At 42.4% G+C, this 14098-nt stretch overlaps 1 protein-coding gene across 15 annotated transcripts in view, besides 2 other annotated features; it reads left to right on the top strand.

Moving 5' to 3' along the window:
- EXPH5 (exophilin 5) overlaps positions 1-14098 on the top strand; it is a 102102-nt gene that overhangs the window by 39101 nt on the left and 48903 nt on the right. For 4 of the 15 annotated variants that reach the window (NM_001441074.1, NM_001441068.1, XM_017017400.2 and 1 more), the window contains exon 1: positions 285-518. The exons of the other annotated variants lie outside the window; for them this stretch is intronic. The gene's annotated coding sequence lies outside the window, so the exon portion shown is untranslated. Of the gene's footprint in view, positions 1-284; positions 519-14098 lie in introns of those variants that run through there. 15 annotated transcript variants of the gene reach the window in all.
- Positions 5163-5272: an enhancer, noted in NCBI's record as "active region_5488". NCBI's record gives its function as "activates an Ori minimal core promoter by ATAC-STARR-seq in GM12878 lymphoblastoid cells {active_cell/tissue: GM12878}" and the evidence as "EXISTENCE:reporter gene assay evidence [ECO:0000049][PMID:35858748]".
- Positions 11651-11824: a silencer, noted in NCBI's record as "fragment chr11:108427339-108427512 (GRCh37/hg19 assembly coordinates)". NCBI's record gives its function as "represses an EF-1alpha promoter that drives an FKBP-Casp9 reporter gene in an ReSE screen in K562 erythroleukemia cells {active_cell/tissue: K562}" and the evidence as "EXISTENCE:reporter gene assay evidence [ECO:0000049][PMID:32094911]".

The following is a 14098-nucleotide window of genomic DNA, read 5'->3' as shown; positions in this document are numbered from 1 at the left end:
GTGAAGGACTTCTGGGAGAGAAGCTGAGAGCAGCCACCTGACAGTAGAGGGGGGAACCGATTGGTTCTCAGGAACCACCACGCCGGCCAGCCATGGTGAGCAGCCTGCCAGGCAGCAGGTGCCCAGCGAGCCAGAGGAACCCGCGTGCCTGGTCATTTCCTCCCCTGCAGCTTTGGACTTCAGTCAGGAGCTTTATCTCTCCTATTCTAAGCAAAAATAATTAAGGCCAACTGATTATTGAGACGCCCTCCCCCCCTCCCAAAAAAAGTAAGACACTTTATTTCAGTAACTGCTTCTCCTCCCTGAAGCAGTAACAAGCTGGCTTTCACCGGCACCCTCCCCTTTGGTACGGGGTCAGCAGAAGGGTGTTTTGTCTTCAGCGAGTCGGAAACCCCCTGTCTTCAGTGTATTCTGCCCACCAGGATAGGGCACTGTGGATTTTGGTTTTGAAGCTTGTCCAGAGTCACTCAAGAGAGACAAAGCGGCCATTCTACTGTGTGCTACCCAACACCCACCAGGTAAGCTGCTGTGTGCCAGGATGAAGCCCCTGGAAGACTGCTTGGCTTTGGTATTCCAGAATTTGCTTAAATATGTTGTACACACACCCCTGAGTTTAAAACAGCAAGGCTGAGAATAAGATCTTCAGCAGGCACAAGGGTAAAGGAAAGAGATACCTGTTTCCAGTATATCATGATGTTAGTTTGCTTAACTAAGTCCCATTTAACATTTAGGGGATCAAGATTTGGGATGTTTTCATTTTTATTGAAGAAATACTTGACAAATATTTTGAAGGCCTAATGTTTGTATGGGCTATGAAATCTGCTATGGTAAATGCAAAGTATGGGACCCAAGAAATGTATAATCTGTTTGGGAGGACAGGACATGAGAATTCAAACAAGAATATAAGGCTACGCATGACTAAGTACTTAAGGGGTGGCATGGACAGCAGTGAGGTAGGGTTTTGGAGAAGAGAAAGATGGATTGGAGCTAAAATTATTAGGCAAAACTTCATAGAGGCTGGCATTGAAGTGGCAGGTGGATAAGTGGGAGGTAGGTAAAGGAGAATGACTCCCAATTATGGCTTAATGCTTCCATTAAACCAATTCTACATAACACATTTATTGTGCTATAATCAGGAGTTGGAATACGTAAATCTTCAATTCAGAAAGACTGTTCATATCAATATTGGAAACTAAAGTCCTAAAGAAGGCTGGTGTTTGTTTATTGTGGGTAAACTCTGGCTTGTCAGATTTCATCCCACTTGACTTCCTTCTCTTCCCTTCCTTAGCAGTCTGTTCACCATCAGTAACTTCTACTAAATGTTCACTAATTTTTAACAACCTTGCACATAGAGAGTGAGATTTAAGTTAACTGTTTTTGTTTTAGAATTCTGTAAATGTTAAATAGAAGAGAGGCATGAAATCATTTCTGATAAAAATAGAAGTTAAATCTGTGTTAAAGGGTTTTGTGGCCCCTTTCTCCCTAGCTCTGTCTCTCAGCTGAATAGGTTGTGTCAGGGAGTGACAACGCAGTGGTGTGTTGGTGCTATCTGTGTTGAGTGACCGGCAAAAGACCACAAAAGGAAATCTTTAGTTTCCCCTCCAAGTCTTGTTCTTTACATGAGAGCATAGGAAGCCTCCAGAAGACTTGCATGATCCTAGTATTGAGTCCTCTTCTATGCATCTATCAAAGAAAATGAGAGAATTTCAGAGGGGCTGGGATTATTTATTTATTTATTTATTTATTTTAGAGATGGGGTTTTGCCATGTTGCCCAGGCCATTCTTGAACTCCTAGACTCAGGCAATCCTCCCACCTCGGCCTCCCAAAATGCTAGAATTATAGGCATGAGCCACCATGCTCGGCCTGGAATTCTTATTTATAACCCAGTGACACAAGACTGTAATAAAACTATTAATAGATAATAATCAACCTCATCATTTGGTCAGTTTCTCTTGATGCAAGGCCAGCAAATAAAAACTTTGTAACCACTTAAAACAAACAAAACAAAAACAAAGCTTCCTTCACTCAGAAGGAAAGTCTGCCTATGAAAGCCTTCACCCATTTATTCCCCACCACCCCCCTCCATGCACACCTTACCTACTTTCCATATTATCCACTCATCCATTGGGGAATGAGTATCACTCATGATGAACAATAATGGATTCAGACCCAGCCTTAGTGGAGTTTATTCCCCAGCAAGTCTAGTTCCGATTGTCTTTTAAGGCCTGTCTTCATGAATTCTTTCCTAGCCTTTAGCTAGAATTAATCTTATCCTTCTTCATAATGCTAAAGCAAGAATCTTGATTTTCTATTAATATTATATTATCAACCATGTCCTGTGTTGTATCATAGCTACTTTGTACATATCTTTTTCCACCAATAGATCCTGAATTTCCTAGTGTCTTCATATCATCCTTACACATTTAAGTGCTCATTATGGTTGAATTGGATTTTTTTTCCTCACTTGAAAAGGCGTTTTTCAACCCTTTAGCTAAGTGCCAGCACAAGTTAGATCGTGTGACAAAGAATATGTAGAAAGGGCATTGTAAACAAAAGAGAAAGTTGGAAAGTTGCCTAGAGAGCATGGCAAAGTGCTTGGAATGGTTGGCACCCTGGGTTTAAATGACGGAGTCATAGGAAAGAAGTCCAGATAGGTAAGCATGGGGCTGGTGACAAAGAACTGAGCTTTACAGATGAGGAAGATGAGACACATAGATGTCATTTGATCAGCCCAAATAATAAAGGAATTAGAACCCCTCACCTGATTATCCACACCACAGGCCCAGCACCCTCACGTAAGCTCGGACAGTGATTTTATGCTACCATGCCAATTCCCAGGGCAATTGGCTGGGAAAAGATGAAGAGAGTGACAGAGAGTGTCTATGACACTAATGTCTGTGTGGTTCGGCCACATTATTCCTCTCTTTGTAGTGATCGTGCAACTTGAAGAAAGGCAAGAGCAATAGGAAGCAAACAACCAAGAAGCTTAGGTGTGTTGAAGACAACATTCAGCACTGATCTGTGGTGTGCTGTAGTGGCCAATCTGAGTCCCCAGTTAGTGTGAAATAGACTAGCCTGTGAATTACACTCTGAAGCAAATGCCAAGAGTTGCCAATTTTGCCATTTGCTTGGCTCTTTACCTTGGATTTCATAGAACCAATATTTTAAATGGTACCTGGGCTAAAATAATCAGCAAAGGTATTGAGCAGATAAGTTATCAAAAACTACAGGCCAGGCATGGTGGCTCATGCTTGTAATCCCGGCACTTTGGGAGGTGGAGGTGGGCGGATCACCTGAGGTCAGGAGTTTGACACCAGCCTGGCCAACATGATGAAACCCCATCTCTACTAAAAATACAAAAATTAGCCAGGCGTGGTGGTGGGTGCCTGTGATCCCAGCTACTCGGGAGGCCGAGGCAGGAGAATAGCTTCAACCCGGGAGGCGGAGGTTGCAGTGAGCTGAGATCTCACCACTGCACTCCAGCCTGAGTGAGACAGAGTGAGACTCCATCTTAAAAAAAAAAAAAAAAAAGCTACACATATCCAATAAACATAATAAATAATGTTCAACCTCTCTAGTAATCAAAGAAATACAAAGAAAAAAAAAGAAAACTTTTTTTGGCTTATCATATTAGCAAAGATCAAAAAGAATAGACATAACTAACATTGGCAAGCACATGGGGAAATGGACCGTCATACAAGGGAAAATTTGATACAACCTTTTTCCAGGGTAATTTGGTGTGATATAGTTCATAAGTCATTAAAACATGTTCATCCTTTGGCCTGGCAATTCCACATCAAGGAAATTGATTCTAAGGAATTAATCAGAGATGGGCACAATGCTAGTTTTGAACTGGGTTTATTTCAACATTATGACTCTAAAAAATTAGAAATAACTCCAACGAGAGGGGAGTAGGATCATATGTTACAGTACAGAGATGCAGTGGTGGAATACTGACATAGCATAGCATTCTTAATGTAATGCTAAGTGGGAAACATAGACTACACAAAGCATGCATAGGGTAAGAGCATTTTTTGAAAATGCAGGCATACATAACTGACATGTGGAGCAAGTAGGAATCATGGAATATAACAAGAAAACATCTTTAGTTTTGTCTCTTACTATCCTTTTATTTCTTTTTTATTTTTTTAGACCGTCTTGTTCTGTCACCCAGGCTGGAGTGTAGTGGTGCGATCTCAGCTCACTGCAACCTCTGCCTCCTGGGTTCAAGCGATTCTCCTGCCTCAGCCTCCTGAATAACTGGGGTTACAGATGCCCACCACCATGCCCAGCTAATTTATTTTTTTTTGTATTTTTAGTAGAGACAGGGTTTCACCATGTTGGCCAGGCTGACCTCGAACTCCTGACCTCAAGTGATCCGTCCGCCTCAGCCTCCCAAAGTTCTAGGATTACAGGCATGAGCCACCGTGTGCAGCCGTCTCCTACTATCCCTTTAAATGCCACTGGATACAAACAAAGGCAGTCCCTTGACTTTTCTGGTCACTTTAAGACACAAACACAGTCTCAATTCAGAGATAATTAGAACATACGGTCCTAGATTAATCCCAGCTTTATTCAGAGGAGCAGCCCCTCACACAGCCACCGCTTGCTGCAGAGCGACGCCTAGGACAGTGAAGAGGATTTGATCCTTTTCCCTTTCCCCATCAACCTCTGCCTCTCCACCCCTTCAGTGGTGGTTTTTTACTGTTCCAGGGTTGAACCGGACGGTGGCTGGGAGGCAGGTTTAAGTTTGGATGGAAGGCACATGCAGAAAAGCTGTTGCTTGACTAGAATGGTTGTGAGGTGGCATCACTCTCTCTGGGTAGGGCAGATGTTTAAATCTGCCTCTTCTCTTGTGTGCTCGTCTGGGGTTTGCTGAGATGGCCCGTGGCCCGGCACTGTTCCCCAGCAGCTCTTTCCATGCAGATAATGTGCTCTCCCCTGCTCTGTGCTAGGAATCCAGGGGTTCACCCACAACCTCTTTCTACTCAGGTTTATTCACCCCTGGAGCTGACTCTAGCAGGCATGAACTAAGAGAACCCCATGCCTCCTCAGCCTCTCCTGGGGCCCACATCTTCTCCACGGGACACAGTCATACTGTGGTTGCTTGAGAAACCCTGGAAATGAGGGCTGATTGACAGCTGAGCTATGCACTTCATTCTGCAGTCAAAGCAACTGGCAGGCCCCAGTTTCTCCAGCTCAAATTTCTCAGGCAGGAGGCAGATACCAGTCTACCTTTCCTCCAAACCACAAGGGACAAAATTAAGCTCTTCCAGTCGTACCAGTTAAGCTCCCTGGCTCTAGAGAAAGCCTCCTCACAGATCCTCCCTCTGTCTTCACTCTTCCAAGTCAATGCATGTAAGGGGACTTAAACCCTAACTAGAGAGATTTGGCTTTTGTTTGTTTTTAAAAATCCCACAAAGCAAGTTCTCCTGATTGGTCTTCTCACAACTCCCTTAGATGTCTTGAATCTCTTGCTTTCATGCTTTAGCTAAAACTGAGTCAGAGTCCTAGTCCTGTGACTACTGCTTTAAAACACATGAATGAACATATGTACACACACAGCAGTATCTCTGACAGTGGGAGTTATGAGTGATTTCTTTTATTCAAGTTTTTGTTTGTTTGTTTGTTTTAAATGGAGACAGGATCTCACCATGTTGCCCAGGCTGGCCTTGAACTCCTGGGCTCACTTGATCCTCCTGCCTCGGCCTCCCAAAGTGTTGGGATTACAGGTGTGAGCCACCATGCCCGGCCCCTTCAAGTTTTTTCTTTAATTTCCAAGTCTTTTGCATTGAATGTAATTTTACTTTCTTTCTTTCTTTTTTTGAAACAGCGTCTTGCTCTGCTGCCAAGTCTGGAGTGCAGTGGTGCGATCTCAGCTCACTGCAACCTCTCCCTCCCAGATTCAAGCAATTCTTCCACCTCAGCCTCTCTAGTAGCTGGGACTACAGGTATGCACCAGCATACCCAGCTAATTTTTGTATTCTTTTTTTTTGTTGTTGTTTAGTAGAGAACGGGTTTCTCCATGTTGGCTAGGCTGGTCTCAAACTCCTGACCTCAAGTGATCCACCACCTCGACCTCCCAAAGTGCTGCGATTATAGGCGTGAGCCACCCAGCCCGGCCTGATGTAATTTTACTTTCACAATTACAAAAAAAAAAAAAAAAAAACACAGAAAAAATTGTATAATGGCAAAGCAAAGTCAGTTTTATTGACATTTGAAATTTCCTGTCCCAATCAATGCTGGAGAATTCCTCTGTGAACAAATTCCTACATGCTGCTTATGGCTGGATGTTTTCATTATGTTCTTTCAGGTGACAAGGAACATAGAGCAGTTTCCTCAAGGGATGGGTGGCACTTTATTGTCAGGATCTAATGGAGAAGTAAGGAAACACAGGAAACGGCCTCAACCCTGCACGGCCAGTCCTCAGGAACCGGAATGTTGATCAGAATACTGCAGCATTCTGGTGCCAATCAATCAACCAGGCTAGTAACCACAGGCTTGTGGTCCAGCTTCTCTGTTCTGCTTCTCCCTACTCACTTCCATTGCCAGGGCTGATTTTCTTCTTGCAAGTTTCCTCTCTGCCCCATAGCTTCCTCCTGTTCAAGACTCTGGTGCCTGATGGCTTCTCTTCATGGTACTGCTCAATACCTTCTCGCTATGTGTCTCTTAGCCATGTCACTTTAGTTTGTCTTACTTGGCATTATGATTTTAAGACATGCCAAGAGGAAAGACGTTATTAAGTTGTTAATCACTCTCCAAAATAGAACAAATAGAATTCACTGGGCAGCATTCTTGCTCATGTTTAGCTTTTGGGTGATTAGGGTAGGAATGCAAAAAATGTTGGATCCCACGAGGCAAAGCACAGGAACTACCCATGACCACTTTACTATGAGTAGGACAGACTCCCAACACTTCATGGGATACCTGTTTGCTAGAAAAGTGGTCCACATCTTTCAGACAGATCTACCACCATGCTTAATTCATTACTTCTGTGGCTTGATCGAGTGCTATTTTTGGGTGTTGGCAAAGAGAATAGAGATGCCAGAATGATTTAAAACAAAACAAAACAAAACAAAACAAGATGGAGGGAATCAGATATCCAGATTTCTTTTTCTATGCCAATAATGTCAAAGGGAATCAAAGCTAAATAGTTGATGTCTTTTAAAATCTAAGATCATTATTAATAAATAATAGGCTACAACCATAAACATATACCAAATAAACAGTTCTTTCCTTCTATAAAGCACACCTGGCACTACTGCTTCTTTGCATTGACATGTCTTTTCATTTTTGGGAAATAGGCTGATTGTTTACAGACTGAGTTCAATTATTTTGTACCTATTCTTGATGCACTGAGACACATTTATTTAAAATGCATAATGTCCTCCAATGTTAGTTATATTATTATTTATATCATGTAACAAAGCTTCTTTTAGGCCTTCTCTCCAAAAACTCATTAAGATTTCATGATAAATTATTTAATACATGATAGGGAATGATCACAAACTTTATTATTGAGATTGAGAAAGAGGAATTTAGATACTAGAATCTGAAAGTTAAAATGATAGTGAATAATAAGAACATATAACAATGACATTACCAGAAAAATATCTTTTACACAAAATCAAACTTCCATAAATAAGTTACATAATTTGGAGTAGACACTTGCGTTTGTACTGCTGGCAGTATTTCATTTTACCCCCAAGTACAGATTTTGTTCTATAATTATTCCAGGAGTGGTTCTCAGGAGTATGTTTTGGTAAATAAATGTGACTACATCTACAGACAAAACTTAACAAGGTCTTCTGGATGAGATAATACCATATGAAAACAATATGTGTGTTTTGAATCACCGAGGCAGAATAATCATTCTAATGATAACCTTTAGTGCAAGGATTCAAGAGGAATGCTCAAAGTTAAAGCCCTTTGGCGTGTGATTCTGCAGTAATTTCTGATGAGGTGGAGTGGTTTGTCAGGTCAGTTGGTTTATCAGTAGATGGATAAAAAGGGTTTCAATGCCACACTCATCTTTGTAAGGCGGGTTTGTTTGCCAGAGAGGAATTGGAAAAGGCAGCAATCATGTGGAAAAGGGTTATTTCAAAAGTTAACTCTTTGAAAATAAGTAAACTGTAATCCAAACCAATGAGCTTTAACTGATGTCAACAACAAGCTTCCTTTGACCCAGTGAGGGAATCCTGAAGCAGATGTGGTTTGAGAGTCATGGACTCTCTGAACCTCCACTATCCCTGATGGGAACCAAGAGCAGTAGATTCATGGTGCTGACATTTAGAAAACCTCCAGGCATTTCCTCAGCTTTCTGCATCCTAACACAAAGATTGAATAGCTATTTGAGATCTATCGTTCTTTCGTCTGGCTTGCATATTTGACTAGTGTGTGTGGGTAGGGTGGGAAGGAGGGTGGTGAGAGTCTCATATTGCAACATTAAATTCCTTAAAGTTAAAGCAAAGTCCAGAATGTTGGATTTGAGTTGGTTTCCCAACACCCTTAAAACTGCATGATACAAAGGGTGAATTAAGTTGAATGCAATAATAGTGGATTTTAATTACAGTATGAGAAGTGAAAGTAATGTCATCTTGTCACCTTTTTGCTTAGACACAGAAGGGATCTATAGGAGCATCACTTTCCTTTAACTTTATGAAATAGCATAGGCTGCTCTTTCTGTCTTCTTTTCCTAACAAGACAGATTCCAAGAATAAGAATTAAATTGCCTGAATATGAGGGGAAAAAAAGATGTTCTGCATTCTTATTAATGAAAATGAAGGAGAGATGCATATTCATGTGTACCATTCTATCTTGTTACCTAACTCTACATAACTAGCAGTGCAGAGGATGTGGTCAGAATTAAGGATGTAGTTGTCTTTGGAAAGAAGCCATGAACAATATAATTAACAAATTCAAGACGTTGAGATCATACACTCTGTCTATGGATGAAAACCTTCATGGTTCTAACCTGCTTTGCAGCTGTGCTAGTATACCAGACTTGCAAGAGGCATTTATGTCCCCATTCTGCAGCTCCGAGCAGCTTTCTTGCACTTTTAGAATCCTGACACTCAACTTGCCATTAACCCTTGTCCTACAAGTTTCAGTGGAAGATGTCTGAGCATCTGTATAAAGGGGAATAAGAGGGACGCAAAAGCTAAAATCTAGTTTTTCATTCTCTTGTATTCATTTTTTCGGTTATTCAACAAATATTTCTTCCCTGCTTGCTGTGTGTTCAGGAAATCGACACTTGACTTGGGGAGCTGACAATCCAGTGATGAGACAACCAGCATGCAAAAAAAGTACAGAGACTCAAGAGAGGAGGTTTATTCTAGGCATGGGTTGAATAAATCAGGCTCCTGGAAATAATCTGGAAATAACTGTTCTTACTCAACGATTATCATCATGCTGGTGGGGTGAGGGGGGTCTGAGCTAGGTACAAGCTTAATTCTTTCACTCACCACTTTACAACCTCTGGCAAGTGTTTTCACCTTTCGTGACTTCAGCTCCTTTTACTGTAAAATGAGTACAATACCTACTTCACTGGATTCCTGTAGTGATTAAATGAAATAATCTAGGTGGAAGCGCCCAGCATCATAGCTGTCACATGAAGTGTGTTTACCAGTGTAAACTTTCCGCCTCCAGAAACAATATATGTTTACAGTGTGCAGGTTCCCATCACCTTCAGCAGCAGCATGAAGGTACTAGAAATGATACCAAATATTGCCTTCATTTTCTATAAAGTTATTGTCAGTTGGAATCTGGAATCATGTGTCCTTTTCTGTTCATTTCATTTTAATCATGTAATGGATCCAGACAGGAGCAACAGAAAGTTCAAAGAAAGTGAAAGAAAGGACAGCAGACACAAGAGGACAATATACCAGACTGGGACTTCCCAGGCTGAAATACAGAGGCCCAAGGGAGACAGAGTTAGAAACCATGAGATCTGAGCTAAACATGGACTTGTTGACCACATTCTTAAATAGTGGGGCATACCCTTTGCAACCTTAGCAAAAGTGTACTTAGAATCACAAAAAGTGGGAAGTCTGATGCGATGGCATGTGCCTGTAGTCCCAGCTACTTGGGAGGCTAAGGCAGAGGATAGCTTGAGCTTGGAGGTTCAAGGCTAGCCAGGGCAACATAGTGAGACCCTGTCTGTAATAAAATAAAATAAAGTTTAAAAAGTGGGAGCTGGGCGCAGTGGCTGACACCTGTAATCCAAGCACTCTGAGAGTCTGAGGCAAGGGGATCACTTGAGGTCAGGAGTTCAAGACCAGCCTGGACAACATGGTGAAACCCCATCTCTATTAAAAATACAAAAATTAGCTGGATATGGTGGTGGGCACCTGTATTCCCAGCTACTCAGGAGGCCGAAGCAGGAGAATTGCTTGAGCCTGGGAGGCAGAGGTTGCAGTGAGCTGAGATTATGCCACTGCACCCCAGCCTGGGTGACAGAGTGAGACTCCATCTCAAAAAAAATAAAAAATAAAAAGTGGGAAAGCATCCTTGATAGCCTCTAGTTCAACCCCCTAATTTTGTGGGTGAAGAAATGCAGGTCCAGAGAAAAGGGAATTTCCCAAACTCATATTCATTAACTTGTTCACCAAGAGCTAACTGAGTCCATACCCTAAGTCAGACATCTTTCCAGAAAACAACACAGGCAACGTCCTCATGCTTGTAGTTTATGTTTTAATGGGCTACAAGAGATATAATCAATAAGAAAGTAAATAAGTGAAGAGGATAATTTCAAAAGAAGATTAACAGGATTAAGAAAAGTAAACCAGGGCCAGGCGCAGTGGCTCGTGCCTGTAATCCCAGCACTTCGGGAGGCTGAGGAGAACGAATCACTTGAGGTCAGGAGTTCAAGACCAGCCTGGCCAAGATGCCAAAACCCCGTATCCACTAAAATTACAAAATAATTAGCCAGATGTGGTGGCAGGCGCCTGGAATCCCAGCTATGCTAGGGAGGCTGAGACACGAGAATTCCCTGAACCCAGGAGGCGGAGGTTGCAATCAGCCGAGATCATGGTTTACTTTTCTTTTCTTAATCTTGTTAATCTTCTTTTGAAATTTCTTCACTTATTTACTTTCTTATTGATTATATCTCTTGTACCCCATTAAAATACAATCTACAAGCATGAGGACATTGTCTGTCTTGTTTTCTGGAAACACTCCAGCCTGGGTGACAGAACAAGACTCCATCTCAAAACAAGCAAACAAACAAACAAAAAAAAGAAAAGTAAACCAAGTAACTTGATAGAAAGTAACTGAATATGGGAGAAGGAATAATCTATTTTGGAGGGCCAGAGGGCCTCTCTAAAGATGTGACATTTTAGCTAAGGCCTAAATGGCACAAAGGCATAGCCATGTGACAAAATAGGGAAGAGCATTTCAGATGGAGGGAACAAGTCTGAAGCCCAGTGGGAGCCAGCTTGGCCTGTTAAGAGGGAAAAAAGAAGCCAAATGCTGAGTGGAGAGGAAAGAGGAGTGATTAAAAGTGGTAGAAAAGGCAGAAGGTCAGACACTATGCAGCCTTGAAGACCACAGAGTTTAACATTGTATTCTAAGCATGATGAGAAGCTGCTGGAGGGATTTAAGCAGGGGATGGCATGATATATCTTACATTTACAAAAAATCATGTTCAATAAAATTGATGGGGGCCAGGCCTGATGACTCAGCCTGTAACCCCAGCACTTTGGGAGGCCAAGGCAGGCAGATCACTTGAGGCCAGGAGTTCGAGACCAGCCTGGCCAACATGGCAAAACCCCATCTCTACTAAAAATACAAAATTAGCTGGGCGTGGTTGTGCATGCCTACTGTAATCCCAGCTACTCGGGAGGCTGAGGCAGGAGAATCGCTTGAACCTAGGAGGCAGAGGTTGCGGTGAGCCAAGATTGGGCCACTGCACTCCAGTCTAGGTGACAGAGCAAGACTCCATCTCAAAACAAACAAAAACAAAACAAAACAAAACAAAAAATAAAATTGATGGGATGCCACTGTCTGGTACTGACCTTCTCCTGTAGTAGGTCCCAATAGATCACACCAAAATGGAAACACTCTTAAGTGCCACATGATCAAACTGAAACTTAAAAAACAAAAACAGGCAAATCCCCAAACAGTCCAGCTTTTCCAAAAAAAAAAAAGACAGCAGATTCACAACTAATCGCAAAGGGCCCAGGCAACACCCGCATGATAAGGAAGGTTCCCCTGCTTTAACCCTTACAAGGAAAGTATCCTGAGGTAGCCTGATGTTAATCAGTCCACTTTTTTGTATTATGCTGCTTTATTGTTCCTGCTCAAGCTATCTTGTAAAAACCCATTGTTCTGCCAGGCAAGATGCTACTCAATTCATGAATCACTAATAAATGCCAATTAGATCTTTAAAACTCATTTTGTTGGAATTTTGTTCTTTGGCCATCGCTCTTGCTCCTGTATGGAGCCTGGATGGAAGGGGAGCCAGAGTGAAGCAGGGAGACAGATAGGGGCTTGTATACGTCCGTTCTCACGCTGCTATGAAAGCATACCTGAGACTGGGTAATTTATAAAGGAAAGAGATTTGATTGACTCACAGTTACGCATGGCTGGGGAGGCCTCAGGAAACTTACAAATATAATGGGAAGGGAAAGCAAACACATCCTTTTTCACATGGCGGCAGGAGAGAGAAGTGCCGAGTGAAGTGAGATAAACCCCTTATAAAACCATAAGATCTCCTGAGAACTCATTCACTATCATGAGAACAGCATAGGGAAACCGCCCCCATGATCTAATCACCTCCCACGAGGTCCCACCCCCAACACGTGGGGATTACAATTCAGAATACAATTCAAGATGAGATTTTGGGTGGGGACACAACCAAACCATGTCAGGGCTCCTGCAGACATCCAGGTGAAAGATGGTGGTGACTTGGGCCAGGGAGGTGGCTATGGAGATACTTGCTAGACTGCAAGCTCCAGAAAGGTGAGAATCTTTGTCTCTTTTGTACACTAATGTATTCCAAGCTGCTAGAACAGTGTATGATATATAGTAAATGCTCAATAAATGTTAGTTGAATCAATAAATGGTTATTTTCTGAAATTAGACTAGAATCCAGGTTTAAGATAAATAAAAGTATAAGCTATTCATGTATGCTGGAATAGTATGCCTTATTCAGATTTGGAATAGTATGTGTTTTTAGACATTTTAATAAAGTACATGCAATATTCTTGCAATTATGTGGCCTAAACCATGGCATCAGCCAGTGCATTCAGTGCAGTGTGAGAGCTAGCCGGGTGATGACAGGCGGAGCCTTGCCCAGTGCACTCCTCTTGTCTTGAGCTTGCCATCTAAGCTGTGTTTGTGAACATCTGCCCTGCAGTTTCTTTTCTCATGATCATGCTGTGATTTAAGTACGACATAGAAATCTGGGAGTGGATCTGTTGGGCGTTTGCCAAATAGCTGATGCTTTTGAGTTTCTTTACAGGATAAGGAAATCTGAGGATGATTCCCTCTCTTTTTTGGAGGCCGGGGGGAGACAGGGTCTCACTCTGTCACCCAAGGCTGGAGTGCAGTGGCACGATCTTGGCTCACTGCAACCTCTGCCTGTTGGCTTCAAGTGATTCTCCTGCCTCAGCCAGCCAAGTACCTGGGACTACAGGAGTGCGCCACCACGCCCGGCTAATTTTTTTGTATCTTTAGTAGATAGGGGGTTTCACCATGTTGGCCAAGCCAGTCTCAAACTCCTGACATCAAGTGATTCACCTACCTTGGCCTCCCTAAGTGCTGGGATTACAGGCCCGAGCCACTGTGCCTGGCCATGATTCTCTTTACTACCATAGATCTCTTTTGTGTTGGGAGTGGTGATACATAATTCCCACCCCCAACCCCATTATCCCTCCACCACCTTTACCACCCATCCTGCACATTTCACAGGTCACAATGACAGTGTTTCATTTGTTCCAGGAACATGCATTACATGCATTAACTCCAGTAGTCCTCACAAAAGCTCCAGGAGATATTATTACTCTTATCCCCACTTTACAAATGTGCAAACTAAGGCACAGAGAGGTTAAAATCACACCCAGTTAATAAAGTTCAGGGCGGCTGGGCATGGTGGCT

This window comes from Homo sapiens, chromosome 11, assembly GCF_000001405.40.
Source record: "Homo sapiens chromosome 11, GRCh38.p14 Primary Assembly".
Lineage (NCBI taxonomy): Eukaryota > Metazoa > Chordata > Mammalia > Primates > Hominidae > Homo > Homo sapiens.
The sequence above is the reverse complement of the archived record's forward strand: the minus strand, read 5'-3'. Positions and strand labels throughout refer to the sequence as shown.